Source organism: Homo sapiens, chromosome 1, assembly GCF_000001405.40.
Source record: "Homo sapiens chromosome 1, GRCh38.p14 Primary Assembly".
Taxonomy (NCBI): Eukaryota; Metazoa; Chordata; class Mammalia; order Primates; family Hominidae; genus Homo; species Homo sapiens.
The window spans coordinates 225,844,645-225,865,513 of record NC_000001.11 but is presented as its reverse complement, the minus strand read 5'-3'; the positions used below and the strand labels follow the sequence as shown (position 1 = coordinate 225,865,513).

Here is a 20,869-nt window from a genome sequence, read left to right as displayed (position 1 = left end):
GCTAGGGTCTCACAGGTGGAAGGACCTCGGGGCCATCTCTGCGTTTGTTCGTTTGTCCACCCACTGAGCGGGTGTCTGTTGAGTGAGCACTGTGTCTGAGTCCAGGCTCTCCCTGGTAGAACCTCCTTTCCAGCGGCTCCCTTTGAGTATCTGCACCACCAATTCCTGCAGATGGAGGCTGGAGGAAAGTCTTTCCTGTGAGGAGATTACGTGTGCAGCCAGGGATGCGGGGAAAGGCCCAGAGCATCAGGAAAGGTGGCGGTGGGGTGCAGGGGGGCAGGGCAAGCAGTCCGGGAAGGCTCCCAGGACCCCATGCTGGAGGACCTGAAGGCTGGGCTGAGGAGCTGACATTTTATTCTTTCTTCATTCCTTTTTTTGTAATCTTATTTTTTTAGAGACAGGGTCTTGCTCTGTTGCCCAGGCTAGAGTTCAGTAGTGCAATAATAGCTTACTGCGGCCTCAACTCCTGGACTTAAGGCATCTTCCTGCCTCAGCCTCCCAAGTAGCTGGGACTGCAGACACATGGCACCACACCCAGCTAATTTTTAAATTTTTTATGGAGATAGAGTCTTGCTATGTTGCCCAGGCTGGTCTCGAATTGCTGGGCTCAAGTGATCCTCCTGCCTTGCCCTCCCAAAGTGCTGGGATTACAGGCGTGAGCCACCATGCCCGGCCTCTCTTCATTCCTTATCAATACAGCAGCCACTAATTTGTTGCATGGACTAGGAGTTGGCTGCACTTTAACTTTGCACTATTTGTGAAGAAAGCACTTGCTAAGCAAATTGCTAGACAGGATCGTAAACTGAATGTTTAAAATTTGAAAAACTTCTTCAGAAACTCTAAGTATTTTAGAAATATTTACTAATATGTAAATACTCAATACCAGAATCATTTTTCTGTATTTCCTTGAAGCAACTCCTCAAAGTTGCCTGCTAGGCAACACCTGGAAACAGTAATTCCACTTAATGTATAACTTTAAAGAGAAAAAAAAAGTCTCCTCATTCTCATACAAACATTGCATGACTCATGCTTTCCCCTATTTTAAGAGGCCTTTTTAGTGAATGCTGTTGCAGTCCGTGGGGATTGATGTATGAATTTGCCTTTCAAGCAGGGATGCTTAAATTGCAGTTTTCTTCCTCACAGCTCTTATTGAGACCAGAAATTGTCCTACTGTTTAATTTCATGATTGATATACCTATGGGCTGTCTCTCTCACTAAAATGTAAGCACATCCAGGCCCTGTTACCAGCACCTAGAACAGTGCCTGGCAGGTGGTAGGTGGGGATTTACATGGTTCTGGAATCCCCTGGAATTGTATGTATAATTTTGCGTGTATGGTGAGGGGGTATTGCATGGTGGCCATGAGCATTGACCTTGGAGCCAGGTTGCCTGTATTCACCTCCTGGCTCAGACACTCACTAGCTGTGTGATCTTGGGCACAAGCCACTTACCTCTGTCGGCCTCAGTTTACTCATCTGTAAAATGGGGACAAAACCTCACAGGTTATGATGAGGATTAAATAAATAAATATATGTAACAATACCTGGTCAATAGTGAGTATGTATTTTGCTGGGTTTTTTTTTTTTTTTTTTTTTTTTTTGAGACGGAGTCTCACTCTGTTGCCCAGGCTGGAGTGCAGTGGGGCAATCTTGCTCACTGCAACCTCTGCCTCCCAGGTTCAAGTGATTCTCGTGCCCCAGCCTCCCAAGTAGCTGGATTACAGGTGTGTGCCACCACACCTGGCTAATTTTTGTATTTTTAGTAGAGACAGCGTTTCACCACATTGGCCAGGCTGGTCGCAAACTCCTGACCTCAAGTGATCCACCCGGCTCAGCCTCCCGAAGTGCTGGGATTACAGGCATGAGCCACCGCACCTGGCCTTGCTGGTTGTTAATATGTGTGTAGATATTTTCTGGTCTGAGGGTCCTTTGCTTTCATTAGACCCTCTGAAAGGTCTGTGACCTTAAAAAAGGCTACCTGAATAGGATTTCAGTGATGGCTCAAGGTAGATACTGACCTAGCACAAACAATAAATCTGTTCCTTTGGGTCTTTAGAGGGGATAGTGATGTGTTCATTTTTCCCCAGGAGAAGTGCCAGCTGATTCCAAGCCAAGTGGGTATAAACTTGTCAGTTCCAGGCAGTTAGCTTCATACTACTAAAAAAGGCTAGCGGGGTGCAGTGACTCACGCCTACAATCCCAGCACTTTGGGAGGGTGAGACAGGAGGAGTGCTTGAGGCCAGAAGTTCGAAATCAGCCTGGGCAACATAGCGAGACCCCGTCTCTACAAAAAATAAAAATCAGCCTGGTGGCATGTGCCTGTAGCCCCAGCTACTCAGGAGGCTGAGGTGGGAGGATTGATTGAGCCCAGAAGGTTGAGGCTACAGTGAGCCATGATTGTGCCACTGTACAGCAGCCTGGGTGACAGAGTGAGACCCTGTCTCTAAACAAAACAAAACAAAACAAAAGCCCTCTTTGTATTAAATTTCAAAATTTCCCCCTTTTGGAGGATAAAAGACAAAGAGAAGAGAGGTCTCCGCTGGCACAGAAACCAGCAGCGAGATCACTCTGCCATCCTTTCCCTTGGATCCGTGGGCACGTCTCCTGCTTGGGGTGTTTTCTTTTCCAACGGTGTCTTTTGCCTCCTTCTCTCCCTGGCCACAGGGACGCGTATCCCACGTGTGAGGTGGTTGATGTGCAGCTGTGCTACAACGTGGCCAAACTGATCTACCTGTGCAAGGAGAAGTGAGTGGTGGGCGGGCCTTGCAAGATGCCCCCTCCTTCCTTGCTGGCCTCGCATCTCCCAGCTAGGAAGGGAGGCGGGAGGCCCTGGACCCCTCCTTCTCCCCTGGCGTTCGATGGTTGAACTGTGGGTATGGGGGTCCCTGCCACAGGATTCTAAATCTGAGGTTTGTGCCCCCGCTCCCACCCCTACAGAAAGAAGACTGAGAAGAGCCTGACCTATTACACAAACCTGCAGGTGAAGACAGGCCAGCGGACCCTCATCAACCCCAAGCCCTGTGGCCAGTTTTGCTGCTGTGAAGTGCTGGGCTGTGAGTGGGTAAGGGTCCCACCCCCCGGCTGGGAGCAGAGGCATTGGCATCGGGGTGCCCCAGATACCAGCATGGGGCCACGTCATCCCAATGGGATGTGTCTTGTGGCAGGAAGACGCCATCTCTTACTACACACGGATGAAGGACAGGCTGCTGGAGAGGATCACAGAGGAAGAACGCCACGTCCAGGACCAGCCCCTGGGAATGGCCTTCGTCACCTTCCAGGAGAAGTCCATGGCCACCTAGTGAGTGTAGGCACATCCAGACCCCTTCTTGGCTGACTCCCTGTTCCCCTCCAGATAACTCACTGTCCCTCTCGAGTGGAGATGGTACTGCTGACCCACCATCCCTGGGATTTATCTGTGGTGTTTCCTTCTCCTCCCTCAGCTACCCACACTCACTTTCAGCCAGCCCAGCCCATGTTTGTGTAACAGGCGGTGGGGGTGTGGGCAGCAGCCACGGAGTGGGTGATTCTGGCTGACCCCCTCGAGCTGATGTGGCCTGGCCCCACTGCTGGGCTCTTCCCTGCTGCCCTGGACCCATCCTGTTGGCTTCATGTGCCAGCCTTGCCCCAGGGGAGATGGAGGCACCCTCCTTTCAGACATCTGCTCTGGGCCACAGATCCTTCTGTCTGTGGCTCCCCACCTTCCCACAAATGCAAAGCTGTGGGGAAGACCCCTGGGGCACGCTGGGGCGCTCACTGCAGTGGGGAGCTTGACCCTGGGGAGTGGCTTTTCACAGTGGCCCTTGGCATGGGACTCTAGGCTCTCATGCCTGTGGTCTCAGTGTCATCTCGCCTTAGGAGCAGCACAGGGTGGGTCGGGAGAGGGGTGTGGAAAGGTGTCCAGCCACTGCCCCAGGCATTGTGACACTAGGAATGGACTCACACAGGACTTCCTGCCTCCTTGCAGACACTGGGGCAGGAGGAAAGGGGAAGGCATCTGAGGCAGGAGTAGAGGGGCTGCTGGGCTCCTTACGGGAGGTTAAAGGAGGAAAAGCTGTGACCTGTTGAGATGGTGAGGGTCGAGGTGGGAGCCCTGAGGAGGGAAGCTTGGGAACAGGCAATGTGTAACGTGGTCTATTGCTACACTTGGGCCTGGGGAAAAAGTGACAGAATGAAAAGTTGAGCCACTGGCCTGGCAGTAGCACTGATCAGAGCTCCAGCTTAACAGGCAGGGTGGAGGGGGATGGCCCTATGGAAGAGCAGTGTGTTGCCCTCAGTTTCCTTATCTGTAAAATGGGAATCGTACTCCCTTTGTTGCTGGTGGTTGCGAGGATTAAACAAAATTCTCCACACACTGTGCTAGCGTGGCACCTCTTACATAGCGTTACTCATAATACACTAATCACAACAAAGCAAAGGTCCTATGCCACTGCCTCCCACTCCTACTCAGTCCCCACTTGCCACATGTGTGCTTGGTAACCTGAGTAGCCTGGGCCTGGCTGTTGCTACATTTCCTTGCAGCATCCTGAAAGATTTCAATGCCTGCAAGTGTCAGAGCCTTCAGTGCAAAGGTGAGCCCCAGCCGTCCTCCCATAGCAGGGAGCTCTATACCTCCAAGTGGACAGTCACCTTTGCTGCTGACCCTGAGGACATCTGCTGGTAAGCTCCTAGACCAAGGAGAGGTGGGAGAGAGGCCTGGGTTCCTGGTGGGAGCTGCCCATCACCTGGAGCACAGGTGTGACCTGGCAGTCAATGGAGATCTCCACACATCTGCAATTCTGTGGGCTGTGATGCTGTGATGTGCTCGGTGTGGCCCAACTGGGGTATCTGCCCAGCCCTTCCCTCCAGTGTTCCTCCCTAGCATTCAAGTGCTACCCAGCAGAAATATAATGCCAGTTCTGCATCTAATTTTAAATTTCCTAATAGCCATGCTAAAAAAGTAAAAAGAAACAGTTGAAATTAATTTTAATAATGTATCTCGCCCAATATATCCAAACTGTTATTTCAACATGCAATTTTTGAAAAATGTGAGATGTTTTACATTCTCTTTTTCACACTTAGTCTTCAATATCTGGTGTGTATTTTACACTTCTAGCACCTCTCAATTCACACCAGCCACATTTAAAATGCTCAGTAGCCGCATGCAGCTTGTGCAGCCTTACTTAGGTCCAGTGTCAGCCTGGGGCCGTGCTGGGGAGCTGAGCTGTGTCCATGGGGGCCCTGGTGAGCCTCCAGTGCTGTGCTGAGGGTAAGGGCACCCAGCGCAAGCCCCAGCGCAGCTGCCTGTCCAGCCCTGCCTCAGCTCCTTGCACAGAATGAGCTTGAAGTGCTCCCCTCTGCTCGGTTCTAGTTCTGCCTCTGACAGTTTTGCTCTTTGGTTCACAAGGCTTCCTAAACTCAGGATTGCTTTGTGGGTCTGTTCTTTGGGATGAGAGGCCAGGGCAGGTGCAAGCTATGCCTTCACTCCTTTGTCCCTGCCTTCCTCCTTCCTGTACCCCAGCTACAGCCCCGTTGGGAAGAATGTGTCGTTAGTCACAAAGCATTGCAGATGTGTCTAAGAAATGCCACGCTGGGGCCGGGCGTGGTGCTCACACCTGTAATCCCAGCACTTCGAGAGGCTGAGGCAGGCGGATTGCCTGAGCTCAGGATTTCAAGACCACCCTGGGTAACATGGTGAAACCCTGTCTCTACTAAAAATACAAAAAAATTAGCTGGGTGTGGTGGTACACGCCTATAGTCCCAGCTACATGGGAGGCTGAGCAGGAGAATTGCTTGAACCTGGGAGGCAGAGGTTGCAGTGAGCCGAGATCACACCACTGCACTCTAGCCTGGGTGACTGAGCAAGACTCTGTCTCCAAAAAAAAAAAAACAGAAAAAGAAAAAATAAATGCCATGCTGGAGCCTTGTTTGGCCTGCTTGGGTGCTCATGCCATCTCTTTGGGTAGGTTCTGGCCCCCAGACTTTAGCTGGGGAGCCACATCTGAGAGAATAATTGTTCCCTCTGAGCTCTTGGGGACCTAAGATTTGGTCTTTCTGTAGTTGAAGGTCAGTGCAGAGAACTTGCCCCCAGGCTAGTCTCTTGGTCTGCCTAAATCTGACCTTCTGACCCACCTAAGCCACGAGCACTGGGAGACAAGCCTCGAGACCTGTATCCCCTCTCCCGCTGCAGGAAGAACCTCTCTATCCAGGGCCTCCGCTGGTGGCTACAGTGGCTGGGCATCAACTTCACCCTCTTCCTGGGGCTATTTTTCCTGACCACACCCTCCATCATCCTGTCCACCATGGACAAGTTTAATGTCACCAAACCCATCCATGCGCTGAATGTGAGTAACTGTTCTGCAAGGCCCCTCCCAGGATAGCTGGTGAGAAGAGGGCTTGGTGGGTGGGGAAGGAGTGGGGACAGGAGTGGGGTGTGTGCGGGGAACTAAACCAGTGGGTCATGTTGCTCAGCTCACATCCTTGCTTTTAAGCCCTGAGCAGGCATGGCCACATTTATTACAAAGTCCTTATAGTAATGCCATACACACACACACACACACACACACACACACACACACACACACACACACATTATATGTATATATACACACACATGCATACATATATATTTTAATAGACTATCTAAATACTGAATGGTAGGGATCATTTGAGTTGAATGTGGTATATTCAGGTTGGTAGACTATCAAGCATCCATTCAAAATTGTATAGATTTTGTGGCACCCATGCAGGGCTCCTGACAGAAGCAGGGATGTACCAGTGAGGCATGTCTATCATGGACACTACGGGGAGGGGCCAGGAAGGAAGGAAAAAAGCTTCGTTGATTGGGGTGGCAGGATCACAAATTATTTCTTTTACATTTTGGTTGCTAATGACCTTGTTATAAAACTATTTTGGGGCCGGGCACGGTAGCTCACGCCTGTAATCCCAGCATTTTGGGAGGCCAAGGTGGGCGGATCACCTGAGGTCAGGAGTTCGAGACTAGCCTGGCCAACATGGCACAACCCCATCTCTACTGAAAATACAAAAATTAGCTGGGCGTGTTGGTGGGCGCTTATAATCCCAGATAGTCAGGAGGCTGAGGCAGGAGAATCGCTTGAACCGGGAGGTGGAGGTTGCAGTAAGCCGAGATTGCACCACTGCACTCCAGCCTGGGCGACAAGAGCGAAACTCCATCTCAAAAAAAAAAAAAAAAAAAAAAAACAAACTATTCTGTATAGGTAATGAACGATTTTCAAAAATCTTAGATGAATCAATGAGATAACAGCCAAACACTCACTCAACTGGCATCTACTCAAAAAGCTATTGGTTTCTCATGATTAGCTTTGCCAAACCATCTCCCTAGATTATTTTTCTTTTTAAATTTCACTTTGCATTTGGTTAATCATTCCCTGGGAAAGCACACGGGGCAGGTGGGCCTCCTTGTCTTCACTTTGCCATTCCCTATCTGATGAATTCTGAACCTCAGTTTTTCATCCAAGAACTGGAGTTAAAACACCTGCACTATTATACAGGGCGTGAGGCTGTTGTCATGATAATCAATGAGCTGATGTGTGGTTGAAGCTCTTATCTGACTCCATAGATAGTTTTAAACTACCTAAGTATAAATTCAGCAGCTTTGCTTAAGATTTAAAGCAGGTATTATAAATATGCATTCCTTTGCCAATCTTTTAATAGAAGGACAGGCCTATTCTTTTGAAGATGGATCTGCTGATGAGAGCTCCCCTTTGTCTACTTTACATCAACCACACCCTTATTTCATTGTTTTGTGATTCCAGTGTTGGTTTCTTTAAAGTAAAGGAAGAATTTAGATATTTGCCGAGCCATTCTGAATATAGAAACTTCCTAGATCGCATATCCCTTGATCTTTTATCGTTAATTTACTCTCATCTAATTAACAGCGTTTTGTTTTTTTTTTTAGAAATTGACTTTTATTAAGTCTTTCCAAAGTAGCCAACTTAGTTTTCAAAGAAAATTTCTCTCTATTTTTATGTTCATCTAATCAGTGACAGTAATAAGTCAATCAGCTCATGTAATCCCAGTAACAAACAGCAGGATTGTGGACACACACAGTGGAGCCCTGATATGCTGCAGCTGGACAGTGGGAGCTGAGCAGGCAGGGCACCCCCCCCCCCCCGCCCCGCCGGCCAGGACTCCAGGCCTTCGGTGTTCAGTCTTGCCATGGCATCAGTCATTGGTTTTGTATAGGGAGCAGAGAAGGTTATTTAATCTGGTTAGTCAGATAAGTGGAGTTTACTCGTATGTGAAATTGCTTTCTTTGCTGTGCTGTGAGGAGCTGTACAAATATAAGGTGCTGTTACTGATTATTCAGCCAACATTTATGGACTACCAACTCTGTACCTGGCACAGTTTTGGTTCTGGGGTCAGAGATGACAAACTCCTACCCTGGGAGTCCACTGAGCGACCATACCAATAGGTCATGGCCTCAGAGCCGCGTGGCCCACGGCCCCTGTGACTCTCTCTGCTGTGGACCTTTCTCCTAGAACCCGATCATCAGCCAGTTCTTCCCCACCCTCCTGCTCTGGTCCTTCTCGGCCCTGCTCCCCTCCATTGTCTACTACTCTACACTGCTGGAGTCTCACTGGACCAAGTGAGTGCCCGGGAGCCCCGAGGCCCTGCCCCTAAGAAGGATATCTCTGACCGCTCCCTTGTCCACACCCTAACCCCCCAGCTGCTCAGGCAGTGGGCACATGGCAGGGGCCTCACTGGGGGCACATAGAGCATTTGGGGGACTGCGAGTGCTCACCTTTGACTTCCTGCAGGTCGGGGGAAAACCAGATCATGATGACCAAAGTCTACATATTCTTGATCTTCATGGTGCTGATCCTGCCCTCCCTGGGTCTCACCAGGTATATGCCACCACCTTCTGCTCTAAATTCAGAATAAGAGTCACATCAGGAGAGCACTGTCCCCAGGAGAATGCAAACGGTTTGGCAGCAGAAGCAAACCTCTAACAATATCTAAGCCTGTCGCAACCACTCGGCGTGCAGTAGGGCTGGGTCATTGATTCTTCTGGCAATATGATTGATTGTTCTTCTTTAAAAAAGAAAAAAACACCATATTGGTCAGGCTGTTCTTGAGCTCCTGACCTCAGGTGATCCACCCGCCTCGGCCTCCCAAAGTGCTGGGATTACAGGCGTGAGACTCTGTCTCAAAAAAAAAAAAAAAAAAAACCAGCTTGAAAATTTTGTGGCCAGGCACAGTGGCTCACGCCTGTAATCCTAGCATTTTGGGAGGCCGAGGTGGGCAGATTGCTTGAGCCCAGGAGTTCCAGCCTGGGCAGTCTGGCGAAACCCCATCTCTACAAAAGAGAAAAGAAAATGAAACTTATCAAGGACCTTCCACTTAGGGAAGGCCTCATCATGGCTTTATTTATCTCAAGGAAGGAAGTTTCTGTTAAAGCAGACTGTGACAGGTCATGCCGTAGTAAGTGGCATCGTTGAGAACAAAAGTCAATCTCGAGCTTTGGCCTGTTTTTAGAGCAAAAGAAAATGAAAGCATGTGTAGTGACAATATGGAATGCTGGAAATAAACTCTTAGGGGGTTCCTTTGTTTTTCAGTCTAGATTTTTTCTTCCGGTGGCTCTTTGACAAAACTTCCTCGGAGGCCTCCATCAGGTTGGAGTGAGTATTGCCAAGTTGAGTTCTGGAGCCATGGCCCTGGGTGAAAGTCCCACAGGGGCTGGGGCTGCAGTGGGATGGGTGGGGGCGGTCGTAGCCTATGCTTCTGAACAGGCATCTTCCTCCCCAGACAGCAGGGCTTGGGGCCTCACCTCCACCCTGCCAGGTTTCTGGTAGACACTGTGGGAGCTGACCCACTTTGTGCTATGCTTGCAGAAATGTGGTTAATTTTTTAGGCCAGAACTCAATTAGCAGCTGTCTCATTCATTGAAACTTACTGAGCACAGAGTCACATGGGGAGAAGGAATTGCTGGGTCTCAGTGGTGCCAGGGAGTGGGGAAAGGAGAATAATAATTAAAGATGGCAGCCAGGATGCCTCTGGGCTCTGGGGATTATTTTTGCCAGAATAGAATTAAATTTATTACTGATGTATCCTTGTTAGTATTTTAAACTTATACCATGCCACTTAATAGTAATAGCTATTGTTTAAGAAGGCACTATGCTAAATGCTTTATGCATCTTTTTCTCACTGTATCTTTACAATGAGCTATGAGGAAGATACTATTATTCTCTCCATTTTACAGATGAGGAGACTGAGGTTTGGAGACGTTGAATAACTTGCCCAAGTTTATCCAGCTGGTTAAGGAACAGAGCTGGGATTCAACCCCAGCCCCTACAGACTATACATTAGGTCTTAATATAGGTCCAGAGGCTTGGCATTGACTTTCCTAAAAGAATGTGCTTACCTGTAAGGATGGGGCGAGTTATTTTAAATGAGTTCTTGCTGAGTAAGCTGATGAGTTGGGAGCTGATGACTGTGACAGACACACATACATACAGCCAGCAATAGTCTAGGTTGACAGTGACTTTCAGATTGACAAGTCCAGTGACCAGCTCAATCCTCATCTTATGATCTATCAGCGACATCTGACACATTTATCCGAGCCTTCCTCCTCGAAGCTCGGCCTTGGGTCTCTCATCTCGCAGCATCCTCTTGTCACCCTCCTTGGTGGGTTCTCTCCCATCTCCCCAACTCTAGATTTTGGCTGCCTGAAGGCTCAGCCCCCAGTTCTGGGTCCACACTGCCTCTCTAGGTGACTTCAGCTGAACCCACGGCTTCCATGCCATGATACTGCTCCTGAATTAACTTATGCGGACAACATCCACATTTATGCCTCTAGCCTGCACCTCCAGGCTGGTAACCCAACTGCCCACCTCAAACTCTAGCTGGAGTTTTACTGGGTACCACGGATGTTACCTGCCCAAAACCAAACTCTCGACTTTTACCCTCAAATCTGCTACTCTACAACTTTCCCCATTCCATATTGTTTTTCTACTTGTTTTGGCAAAAAACCTCAAAGTTCACCTTGTTTCCTTTCTATCCCTCCCATGCCATACCCAGCCTACCAGAAAATCCTGACAACTCTCTCTAAAGTAGATCCAGAATCCCTTCATATCTCACCACCTCCATCACAACCGCCCTCATCCCACATGGGGATGACACAGTGGCCATCTGTGTAGTCTCCCTGACCCCATTGGAACAGATCCCTTGTCCTGGGCTGGCCCCCAGCCCCTTTCAGCCTTGTCTTCTGCCTCCCCTCGCCCACTGCTGTCCAGCCCCTGGATGTGCAGCAGACGAGGACATCCTCAGGTGTCTTGTATGTTGTTCCCTTTCCCTGGAATCCTGTCTTCCCAGGTTTGGGGATGACTTGCTCCTTCACCTCTTCACATTTCTGCACGAATATCACCTCGTTAGAAAGGCTCCTCCAACCCCTGTATGACATAGGAACCCTCCCTGCTTTGTTTTCCTCTAGTGCTCACCGTCCCCAGCAGATGGAATATTTGTTTGTCTGCTTGTTTGTGCCCCCAGCTAGAATGTGAACTTCAAGAGAGTGGCGCAGGGGCTTTGTTCTATTCTCAGTGCCTAGAAAGGTGCTTGGCACACAGATGTGTTTCCCAAATATGTGCTGAATGAACGGAAGAGTATACAGCCCTCCCAGGGGCTTTCTGCTCCTGCCCAGCCTAGGGGCCCCTCCTCTCCCTCCAAGAGCGGCTCTCAGCTCACAGACCTGGGCCCTGGTTTCCCCAGGTGCGTCTTCCTGCCTGACCAGGGTGCCTTCTTTGTGAACTATGTCATCGCCTCGGCCTTCATCGGCAATGGCATGGAGCTGCTGCGGCTGCCAGGTCTCATCCTCTATACCTTCCGCATGATCATGGCCAAGACGGCTGCTGACCGCAGGAATGTCAAGCAGGTGCCATCCCCTGGGCCCAGGGCTGTGCCTCTGACTCCCTCCCATGTCCCCCTTCACTGACCCGAGGGCCTCTCACCCCCACTACCCCCACTAGTGGGTAGCATTTACCTGACTACCCACTAGTGCAGGCACTGGGCTAAGTGCTTCTCAAACCCGGGTCCAGGCAGGCGTGGCCTCCTCCAGCCTCCTCTCTAGCTCACAGGCTGGAGGAGAGAGCTTGGGACTTTGGCATTTGAAACGGTTTGATCGCACACATACATACATACAACTCAAACCAACAGACTCTTTTTCTGTAGGCACCCATTTGCATAAATTCTTAGCCAAACCCCAGATGTCAAAGGCATTTTCGGCTTGTGGCATTTATTCCAGGATTCCCTGAACTGGAGGGTGTGGCTTTCTCTTTTATTCTCCTCTGCCATGGTGGGCACTGTGCGAGGAAAGTGGGAGAAGTGCTGCATTCCTTCATTTCATTCTCAGCCCCCTTATGAGCTGGGCACTGCTAGTATCCCGATTTCACAGAGGCATGAACTAAGCTGGCCCAGGATCCCCTGCTAGAAGGGCTGGAGTCACTCTACACCTCTTCCCTGACCACCTCTTCCCTCCAGGGGCTCACATGCCTGTTGGGTGGAACGAAGGGAGCACTAGCAAACACGCATCACCATGCCTCGGGAGGGCTGGGTGCACTGAGTGAAGCAGGGCAGGCTGGGAGGGATGGGAAGGACCTTGGGAGGCGGGGAGCCACGCATCTCCTATTTCCAAAGTCCTCCTCCACCCTGCTCTCCCATCACCACTTAGAGAGCACAAAAGGGTGTTTGAGGTGGAACAAGTCCATGAGCTCCTCACCACCTCCTCCTCCCAGAACCAGGCCTTCCAGTACGAGTTTGGAGCCATGTATGCATGGATGCTGTGTGTCTTCACTGTCATCGTGGCCTACAGCATCACTTGTCCCATCATCGCGCCATTTGGTGAGTGGCCCTGGAGCCTGTCCCAGGGTACATGGGTACATGGACGGCTGATTGCACCAAACCTCTCGGGGACAGCTATCACCAGGGCACAATGGAGTTCCCAAAACCACAGCCACAAGAGCCACAAGCTGCTAAAGACTCACGTGACACCAGATTTCACTCATTTCTTTCTTTTTTTGTTTTGAGACAGGGTCTCATGCTGATGCCCAGGCTGGAGTGGCATGATCTTGGCTTACTGCAACCCCCACCTCCTGGGCTCAAGCCATCCTCCCATCTCAGCCTCCTGAGTAGCTGGGATTACAGGTGCCCGCCACCATGCCTGCCTAACTTTTTGTATTTTTAGTAGAGATGGGGTTTCACCATGTTGGCCAGCCTGGTCTTGAACTCCTGACCTCAGGTGATCCACCCGCCTCAGCCTCCCAAAGTGCTGGGATTATAGGCATGAGCCACAGCACCCGGCCTCATTCATTTTTAAATGAATTCCTCCCACTGGCCCTCAGCTAGGACCTCTCTTAGTATTTCTGGTCTGAGGTTCTCTGCCCACTGACTATGTCGTTCATGGTTGATTTCTTTAGCAGCAAGTAAGACAGTGCCAGAGTCACAATCAAAGCTCTCGTGCTGCTTTCACTCTGGCAGATGCCTGCCTCCACGTGGATTACCACATTTCTCACCTCATCCTACAAGGCAGTTCCTGTTTCTATTCCCCCTTCACACAAAATAACTTCGTATGTTGTTAGTAAGCAGGAGAACCAGCCTTTGAACTCAGGACTGTTTAAAGACCAAGGTCCTGGCCACTGAAATAAAACATCTGCAACTGGCAGATTAATGAAAGGCTCTAGAAGGAAACAAAAAACCCAAGAGACTGCTGGCAGTGATAGCTGAGTTTTAGGGGGAAAAGTTGTTTTAGTTTTCCCTGTATACTTTCTTGTGTAGTTTTAAAAATCTACAGTATTTACACTTTCAAAACAAAATTTATTTTTTAAAAAAGAACCTGGGGCTGGGCACGATGGCTTATGCCTGTAATCCCAGCACTTTGGGAGGCCTAGGCAGTGCATCACCTGAGGTCAAAAGTTCAAGAACAACCTGGCCAATATGATGAAACCCTGTCCCTACTAAAAATACAAAAATTAACTGGGCATGGTGGCAGGCGCCTGTAATCCCAGCTACTCGGGAGGCTGAGGTAGGAGAATCACTTGAACTCAGGAGGCAGAGGTTGCAGTGAGCCAAGATTGCACCAGTGCACTCCAGCCTGACCAATGAGCGAGACTCCATCTCAAAAAAAATAAAAAATAAAAAAACAAAAGAACCTGGCATAATAGAAAAGGCAGCACCCACTTTCTGTTGGTCCCCTGTGTGCTCCTGTGCCACCCCTGGGGTAAGACCCTTGGGCCTCATTCTCTGTTGACTGTGATGAGGGCAGGGATCAGCCGGGTGGGAGAAGGCCAGGGGTGTGGGAGCACTGACATACAGGGGCTCAGCATGGGAAGGGCTGGGGAGGAATTGAGGCCAGGCATCCAACTGTGAAACAGCCTCTTTCCAAGATGATTCTGGAATGTTAGTGTTCTGTGGGGACAGGATCACAGACACTGTGACTCCCTTGGTGCAGGGTCTGTCCCACAGACCCTGACCCAGCGACGGATGAAAGACATACACTGCCGGGTGCGGTGGCTCTCGCCTGTAATCCCAGCACTTTGGGAGGCAAAGGTGGGCGGATCACGAGGTCAGGAGATCGAGACCATCCTGGTTAACATGGTGAAACCCTATCTCTACTAAAAATATAAAAAATTAGCCGGGCATGGTGTCAGGCGCCCGTAGTCCCAGCTACTTGAGAGGCTGAGGCAGAAGAATGGCATGAACCCAGGAGGCGGAGCTTGCAGTGAGCCGAGATCGCACCACTGCACTCCAGCCTGGGCAACAGAGACTCTGTCTCAAAAAAACAGACAGACAGACATACACTGACAGATATTTTGCCTGTCAGTGCGGCTAAGGGGCTCTGCAGCCTGAGTCTGCAGTGTAGTCCTCAATGCCAGGCGAAGTTCGCATTTATTTAGTACAGACTAAATGACAAAGGTCTCGAGTAAACACCACTAGAGGGTAATTAACATTGCCGACCCCCTGAATAGCGAGCAATCATGCACCAGTGGATGATCAAAGGTTGGTCTTAGGACCACATGAGTAAACAAGCTATTTAGGTAAACTCCCCCACATTCCTATGTATCTGCACCCTAAGCTTTTAAGAGAATTCAGCTGCCTTCAGCCAAACCCTTTACTGAAGCTATGCAAACCTCTCGGCTTTCCAAGAAGGTTTGTGTCTATTTCCTATAACTTTATCTTAAATTTTCTCCCACCACCCTGACCGATCCCCTACACCTTGGGGTCACAGATAAGTGAGGAAGTGGGTAGGAGAGAGAAAGTGAAAAAAAACTAGTAGCCAGAGGTGCAGGATGCCTCATTTTGTGTTCAGGCAGTAGAGCAGCAGCCCCAGCCCTGGCTCCTTGCCAAAATAGCCGCCCCGGAGAGGAAGAGGACAGAGGTGTCTGTGTGGCCCTGCGAGGTCTCCAGCTCACAGCCCCATCCCCTGCAGGCCTCATCTACATCCTGCTCAAGCACATGGTGGACCGGCACAACCTCTACTTCGTCTACCTCCCAGCCAAGCTGGAGAAGGGGATCCACTTTGCCGCTGTGAACCAGGCCTTGGCAGCCCCCATCCTGTGCCTCTTCTGGCTCTACTTCTTTTCCTTCCTGCGCCTGGGTGAGCAGCCCTTCTGACCTGGGGCCAGCCCTTGGCCTCCCAGCCCTGCATCCCCACCAGCCAGTCAGATCCCTCATTGCTTTCACAGCATCAGCATGGCATCCAGTCAGAATGTGGTGCCCAGAGTGAGGGCTGGTTAGGTGTCCCATCAGAACGTGGTACCCAGAATGAGGGTTGGTTACATGTCTAGTCAGAATGTGGTGCCCAGAGTGAGGACTGGTTAGGTGTCCAATCAAAACATGATACCCAGGGTGAGGGGCTGGTTGGGTGTGGTGTTGACAGCCTGGCTCCTAAGCTAGCCCGAGTGCAGGTGTAACCCTTGTGAAGGCCTGGTCAATTGTCCCATACATCCCTGGAGAGAAGATAGTGCCTTTATCAGCTGTGCAGGGACTGAACCAGAGGAAATGGGGAAGCTGATCCAGATTTGCCCTTTGAGGCTGGTGGTTGGGCCCAGCTCCTTGTACCTCCTGGCATGGAAGAGGTGGGGACGTGGAGGAGAGAAAACTGACACTCCTGGGGGAAAGACACGTCTGCCCCGGTCAGACTGGGGGTGTGGGAGGGTCCATCCTCTCTAGCCCAGGGCACTGGAGACTGGAGGGAACGGACCAGCAAGGAGGCTGAAGAATTGCCATTGACTTGGCACCCCAGTGCCTGAAATCTGACCAGGGATGATGCCAGTCATTCAGTGGGTCCCTCTGTGTGTTCCTGGCTGTGAAGACACCATCCTTGCTGCTGGAGTTGAGGGGTGGGGGTGGGGGGTTAGGCCTTACCTTTATTTTCTGCCTGAGGGAGAAGTCACGGGCAGTTTCCACACCAGGTGCGGCCCCTTCCTCAGCAGGGTGAGGGTAGGTGGTGGCCCCTCCCTGCCCACCCCAAGGCTAGCCACCCTCTATCACCAGGTATGAAGGCCCCCGCCACTCTGTTCACCTTCCTGGTGCTGCTGCTCACCATCCTGGTCTGCCTGGCTCACACCTGCTTTGGATGCTTCAAGCACCTCAGCCCTCTGAACTACAAAGTAAAGGCCCCCGACCCCACTGCCCGGTCAAGCCCTGGGAGGAACAGATGGTGGGACGGGCTCGCTGTCAACCCCGCCCACCCTTGTCTGTATCAACACAGCAGCAGCCTTCTCCAGATTCTGCTTCTCCATGGGAAAGGCGTGGGTGGTTGGGTGCCATGTGTAGCTTCCCTTCCTCCCCTCATCCCTGCACTCCCCCACCCCATCCTCTCTCGGGCTGCTGGGGAGCTTGGTGCCAGCTGGTACTATTATTCCGGGTGTTAATAGTCTGTGTGTTTGGAGGGTGTTTGTTCACAGAGATCAGTTTTGTTTATCATCGCAAGTTTTTGCTGTTATCTGCAGACAGAAGAGCCTGCAAGTGACAAAGGAAGTGAGGCAGAGGCCCACATGCCCCCACCGTTCACAGTAAGCTGTGCCCCTCAGCCTCTGAGCTTGTCGCCCTTTTTTTTGCTTTGGTTGTAACAGTCCCAACCAGATGGGCCCCGGCAAATCTTTGATCATCTCTTGCTAAGATCACATGGCAGGCAAGTTTGTGAATTAATGGCAGAGAAGGAATCCTGGTCCCCCTGGGTATTTTAACCTGCATATTTGAAACTGTTGAGGAGATAGAGTCTTGTCTCGATTCATGGCCATCCCCCTTGGTTTCAGTTCCCTGCTCTCTTTCCTTCTCTGCATATTTAATGCCTGGTGAGTTTGGGGCTTTAGTGAAGGCACATGGTAAGGCGCTAGGGTTTGACAAAGGTTTGTCATCAGCGATGCACCTGCCTGTGCGAGGTCCTCCACTAGGCTCCAAGAGGGTGTCAGGCAGACTTCCCTTTGAATTCAAGAAATGAACATTGCACCTGCTTCAGAGGAAGACCCCATGGTAGAGAGACACAGGGCTCCTTGCCTTCCTAGTTCTCTCTGCACACAGCCTCCAGGGTCCTGCTCCTAGGGTGGGGCTGGGAAGGGAAAGCAGAGCCCCAGGGTTCCAGAGCTGTAGTCACCAGCCTTCCTGACAGCCGTGGCCAGGACAGAGCCGACCTCATCTGCAGGGTTCTTTCTGGTGGCTGCCTCCCAGGTGTCAGGCTCTCTTATCGGTGTCTGTCCTTGGACAAGTTCCAAACAAGGGAGGGCCTCAGAAGGACTCATTACCCAGCGACACACCTGTGGCTATGCTGGCCAAGCAGGGAACATGCAGGACAGGTGGATGATGTCAAGCCCTCACAGCCAGGGTCTCAGGAGGAGTATGGCAGGGCTCTGTGCCTGGGGTCAGTGGCTGGAGCCTGGGATTGGGAGGAAATGAGACTCAAAATGAGACTCACACAGATATGTTGAGCATCCCAGGGGTCCCAGGGCAGCGTTCTAAGCCCCCCTATATAGGTAGACTTGTTTCTTCTACAAAGTGAGAAATCCTCCTAGGATCCAGGGCTAGGAAGTTTAGTTTCCTCTGAGAACTGCTCTCTTGTGCTTCCTTCTGTGATCATGAGAACTGTATAACTGTGCTTTCTCTTTTGCCCTGGCTGCTAGGAAATTCTGCAGGTGTCATATTTTCGGTCTTAATGTCCTAAATGGATGTCGGTGTTTCTTCATATGTCCTTTATGGCCACTGTCTGTGTCCTGTTGGGAGAAGGGCAGGAGGGGAGGGATGCAGTGTGGAAGCTCATGCCTGTCCAGGCCAAGCACAAATCCATTTGCTGACAGCCCTACGTGCCTCGGATTCTGAACGGCTTGGCCTCGGAGAGGACAGCACTGTCTCCGCAGCAGCAGCAGCAGCAGACCTATGGTGCCATCCACAACATCAGCGGGACTATCCCTGGACAGTGCTTGGCGCAGAGCGCCACGGGCAGTGTGGCTGCTGCCCCCCAGGAGGCCTGAGGCTGGGTGAGCTGCTGGCTGGGCCAGGCTCAGGGGAGCCTGTGGGGTGAGAAGACAGGTGAAGCGGCCTGACTCCCAAGTTCATGACTTCTTCCCATCTGTTTTAGGTCTCACTGCTCTGAAAAGACACAACCAGAATGGCCTGGGGCTCAGGCCCTTGGCTGAGTGGGAATGCGTTGGGACTGCCCAGCTGAGCTATCAGGTGCCCATCTTTTCTGGTCCCAGCAGTGGTGAGGAGAGCACAGGCAGGCCTCGCCCCTCCCTTGCTCACCCAGTTTCCCCTCCGGCACAAGCTTCCAGCTCTGCAGCTGGGGTGACATCCCCAGTGGTTTGTCGCCAAGACCATGTGGTGGACTTTTCGCCCCCCAAACTGATGAGTCCGGGAGAATATATGGAGAGAGAGATGTAACAAGGGGAAGGCCTCCTCCCTTCTGAGCACACACACAACCGATAACCAAAGAGATGCTGCAGTCCAGGTCTGAGGTCCCGCTGGCATCCAGCTCCCTGCTCCATGGCCAGTCCCTCCCCAGCCCAGCAGTCCCTCCAGGCTACATCCAGGAGTAAGCTATGGGGAACAGGTTGGGAGGTGGCCAGTGCTCCTGCCAGCTGTGCACACATCTCTGTATCCCGCTAGAGTTCTGTGTTTTTGTATCATGTTGTCAGGGACGCTAGCTGGGTCAGGGTTACCCCATAGCAGGCAGGGACAAGGACCACTCATAATATGCCCATTGGACCACAGTTAAGATCCAGCCTCTCTCACCTCTTCAGGGCTGAGTGCATGAGTCTGCACCTCCAGGCAGGCTCTGTGCAGTACTCACCCCCTCCGTCTGCTCCCTCCAAGGTGTGGGGGTGGGCAGTGCTCAGGGCCTCCTCGGAGCCAAAGGACAGCATGGTCGGCACAGAGGAAGGGGTACCTGGGCTGGGTGCAGGGCCATCCCACTGCCCTTGAGCTGTGGCTCTGGCAGGAAGGAGGGGCAGCCCATCCCTCTTCTCCCTCCTGGGGATTCTGGGGAATGGGATGCAACTTAAGACTTCTGCCTGAGAAGCCTCCTCCCTGCTGCCTCCAGGGGGCACCAAGGCACAAGCCTGTGCAGTAGGGGCGGGATGGGGGTGTGGAAGAGCAGGTCCAGGCTCCTAGCACAACTGGCCTGGGGCCTTGGCACCTCTGTAGGCCCTGCCTGTGCCTGTCCGCTGGCCTGGGGGGCCTGGGCTTATCTGGGCCTTCTCACTCAGGGACTCTCTTGACGCTGACTTGCCCCCGCAGTGGTGGCCAGTGCTGCCTCTGCTCCAAGCTGCCCCTGCGCTGGGAGGGGTGGGGGCGGTGCCATTGGTCTGGTGCAGCATAGCCCTGGCCAGTGGCCTCATCCCCAGCAGGCCTCCCGTGCCTCTGCCAGCAAGGAGGGGCCGGCCAGCTCTGCTTGCACAGGGGGCCCCATGTGGGGTCAGCGCACGCTCATGTCACTGAGTTCCAGCCGCTTTTAGAGTAAAGTCGTTTATCATCAAAGCCATGTTGCTTACCACACGGAGTTGGGGGTTGGGGAGTGAGCTTGGAGGGGTGAGGGGGTGAGCGTGGGCTCCCAGCATGGGCAGGGGACGGAGGCAAACTCATTCCTCAGAAAAGGGGTATCTTCCCCAAGAAAAGCCTGGAGGGCACTTGTGGGGGGAGGTGGCAGGCGGGGGGAGAGGGGTGGGTCATTGCCGCTCCAGCACCGACAGGAACTTGCGGATGTCCTGGGCGAGCAGCTCCGGCTCCTCAAAGGCCGCAAAGTGGCCCCCACGAACCATGTAGGAATAGGAGATGAGCTTTGGGTACTTGAACCTCACCCACTTTTCAGGCGTGTGCAATAGCTCAAAAGGGAAGGCAGAGAAGCCAGTGGGCACATAGACCTTCATCCTGGAAGTGAAAGAGCCGACGGAGGGGTGAGGCTGTGGCCCTGCGCCCCTCCGTCCTGCACAGCAGGGGGTTAAAGCGCCTGGGGGTGAGATCAGCTGGCCCACCCACAAGGAGCCATAAAGAAAAGGACAAATCCAGGGTCTCAACCGCTCTCCCCTCACTGAGGGCCTTCTCTTTTCTGGGAGGGCCACCCAGGCAGGGGCATGGGACAGCCTCTAAATCCCCACCTTTGAGGGTTTCCATGTGAGACTTGGAAATCCCAGAACCATCAGTGCCACTCCAGACCAGCATCCTAGACTGGGGAGCGGTACTGAGGGCCGCCCGGGAGCCAGGCACCTGGTCCCTCCATGAGGGCTTTCTCCAAACACCTCGACCTTTAGTGTTCCCATCCAAGGGCCCCTGGGGCACCTGCAGGCAAGGCTATACTTATCCCACCACCAAGTGCCCTTCGTGGAGCCCAAGACTGGCCGTCCCCCTGCCTCCAGCCTCAGAGGCCCCTGT

The 20,869-nt window shown here is 52.0% G+C and overlaps 2 protein-coding genes across 22 annotated transcripts in view, besides 7 other annotated features; one reads left to right on the top strand and one right to left on the bottom strand.

Annotated features, from left to right (window-relative positions):
* TMEM63A (transmembrane protein 63A) overlaps positions 1–20,869 on the top strand; it is a 41,825-nt gene that overhangs the window by 16,867 nt on the left and 4,089 nt on the right. For 5 of the 8 annotated variants that reach the window (XM_011544330.4, NM_014698.3, XM_047435146.1 and 2 more), the window contains 15 exons: positions 2,663–2,743; positions 2,936–3,059; positions 3,163–3,296; positions 4,517–4,654; positions 6,165–6,318; positions 8,497–8,603; positions 8,776–8,862; positions 9,574–9,636; positions 11,723–11,885; positions 12,745–12,850; positions 15,435–15,602; positions 16,502–16,617; positions 16,960–17,022; positions 18,301–18,480; positions 18,582–19,978. In XM_011544330.4, the coding sequence (XP_011542632.1) occupies positions 2,663–2,743; positions 2,936–3,059; positions 3,163–3,296; positions 4,517–4,654; positions 6,165–6,318; positions 8,497–8,603; positions 8,776–8,862; positions 9,574–9,636; positions 11,723–11,885; positions 12,745–12,850; positions 15,435–15,602; positions 16,502–16,617; positions 16,960–17,022; positions 18,301–18,474 (1,678 nt within the window). In that variant the 3' untranslated portion in view covers positions 18,475–18,480; positions 18,582–19,978. Of the gene's footprint in view, positions 1–2,662; positions 2,744–2,935; positions 3,060–3,162; positions 3,297–4,516; positions 4,655–6,164; positions 6,319–8,496; positions 8,604–8,775; positions 8,863–9,573; positions 9,637–11,722; positions 11,886–12,744; positions 12,851–15,434; positions 15,603–16,501; positions 16,618–16,959; positions 17,023–18,300; positions 18,481–18,581; positions 19,979–20,869 lie in introns of those variants that run through there. The other 3 variants (XR_949163.4, XR_007065257.1, XM_047435144.1) reach the window with 3 other exon arrangements.
* Positions 799–999: a silencer, noted in NCBI's record as "peak732 fragment used in MPRA reporter construct". NCBI's record gives its function as "represses an SCP1 promoter by STARR-seq MPRAs in K562 erythroleukemia cells {active_cell/tissue: K562}" and the evidence as "EXISTENCE:reporter gene assay evidence [ECO:0000049][PMID:32103011]".
* Positions 1,138–1,338: a silencer, noted in NCBI's record as "peak731 fragment used in MPRA reporter construct". NCBI's record gives its function as "represses an SCP1 promoter by STARR-seq MPRAs in K562 erythroleukemia cells {active_cell/tissue: K562}" and the evidence as "EXISTENCE:reporter gene assay evidence [ECO:0000049][PMID:32103011]".
* Positions 13,304–13,353: an enhancer, noted in NCBI's record as "active region_2631". NCBI's record gives its function as "activates an Ori minimal core promoter by ATAC-STARR-seq in GM12878 lymphoblastoid cells {active_cell/tissue: GM12878}" and the evidence as "EXISTENCE:reporter gene assay evidence [ECO:0000049][PMID:35858748]".
* Positions 13,444–13,493: a silencer, noted in NCBI's record as "silent region_1860". NCBI's record gives its function as "represses an Ori minimal core promoter by ATAC-STARR-seq in GM12878 lymphoblastoid cells {active_cell/tissue: GM12878}" and the evidence as "EXISTENCE:reporter gene assay evidence [ECO:0000049][PMID:35858748]".
* Positions 14,738–15,284: an enhancer, noted in NCBI's record as "NANOG-H3K4me1 hESC enhancer chr1:226037931-226038477 (GRCh37/hg19 assembly coordinates)". NCBI's record gives its function as "activates a minimal SCP1, AML or CMV promoter by ChIP-STARR-seq in naive H9 embryonic stem cells {active_cell/tissue: H9 hESC(naive)}" and the evidence as "EXISTENCE:reporter gene assay evidence [ECO:0000049][PMID:30033119]".
* Positions 17,113–17,162: an enhancer, noted in NCBI's record as "active region_2630". NCBI's record gives its function as "activates an Ori minimal core promoter by ATAC-STARR-seq in GM12878 lymphoblastoid cells {active_cell/tissue: GM12878}" and the evidence as "EXISTENCE:reporter gene assay evidence [ECO:0000049][PMID:35858748]".
* Positions 18,798–19,608: an enhancer, noted in NCBI's record as "H3K27ac-H3K4me1 hESC enhancer chr1:226033607-226034417 (GRCh37/hg19 assembly coordinates)". NCBI's record gives its function as "activates a minimal SCP1, AML or CMV promoter by ChIP-STARR-seq in naive and primed H9 embryonic stem cells {active_cell/tissue: H9 hESC(naive and primed)}" and the evidence as "EXISTENCE:reporter gene assay evidence [ECO:0000049][PMID:30033119]".
* EPHX1 (epoxide hydrolase 1) overlaps positions 19,951–20,869 on the bottom strand; it is a 35,440-nt gene continuing 34,521 nt past the window's right edge. For all 14 annotated transcript variants that reach the window (NR_165626.1, NR_165625.1, NR_165624.1 and 11 more), the window contains one exon: positions 19,951–20,368. Coding sequence is in view for 10 of the 14 variants with exons in the window: in NM_001291163.2 (NP_001278092.1) it covers positions 20,167–20,368 (202 nt within the window). In the remaining 4 variants the exon portion in view is untranslated. The remainder of the gene's footprint in view (positions 20,369–20,869) is intronic.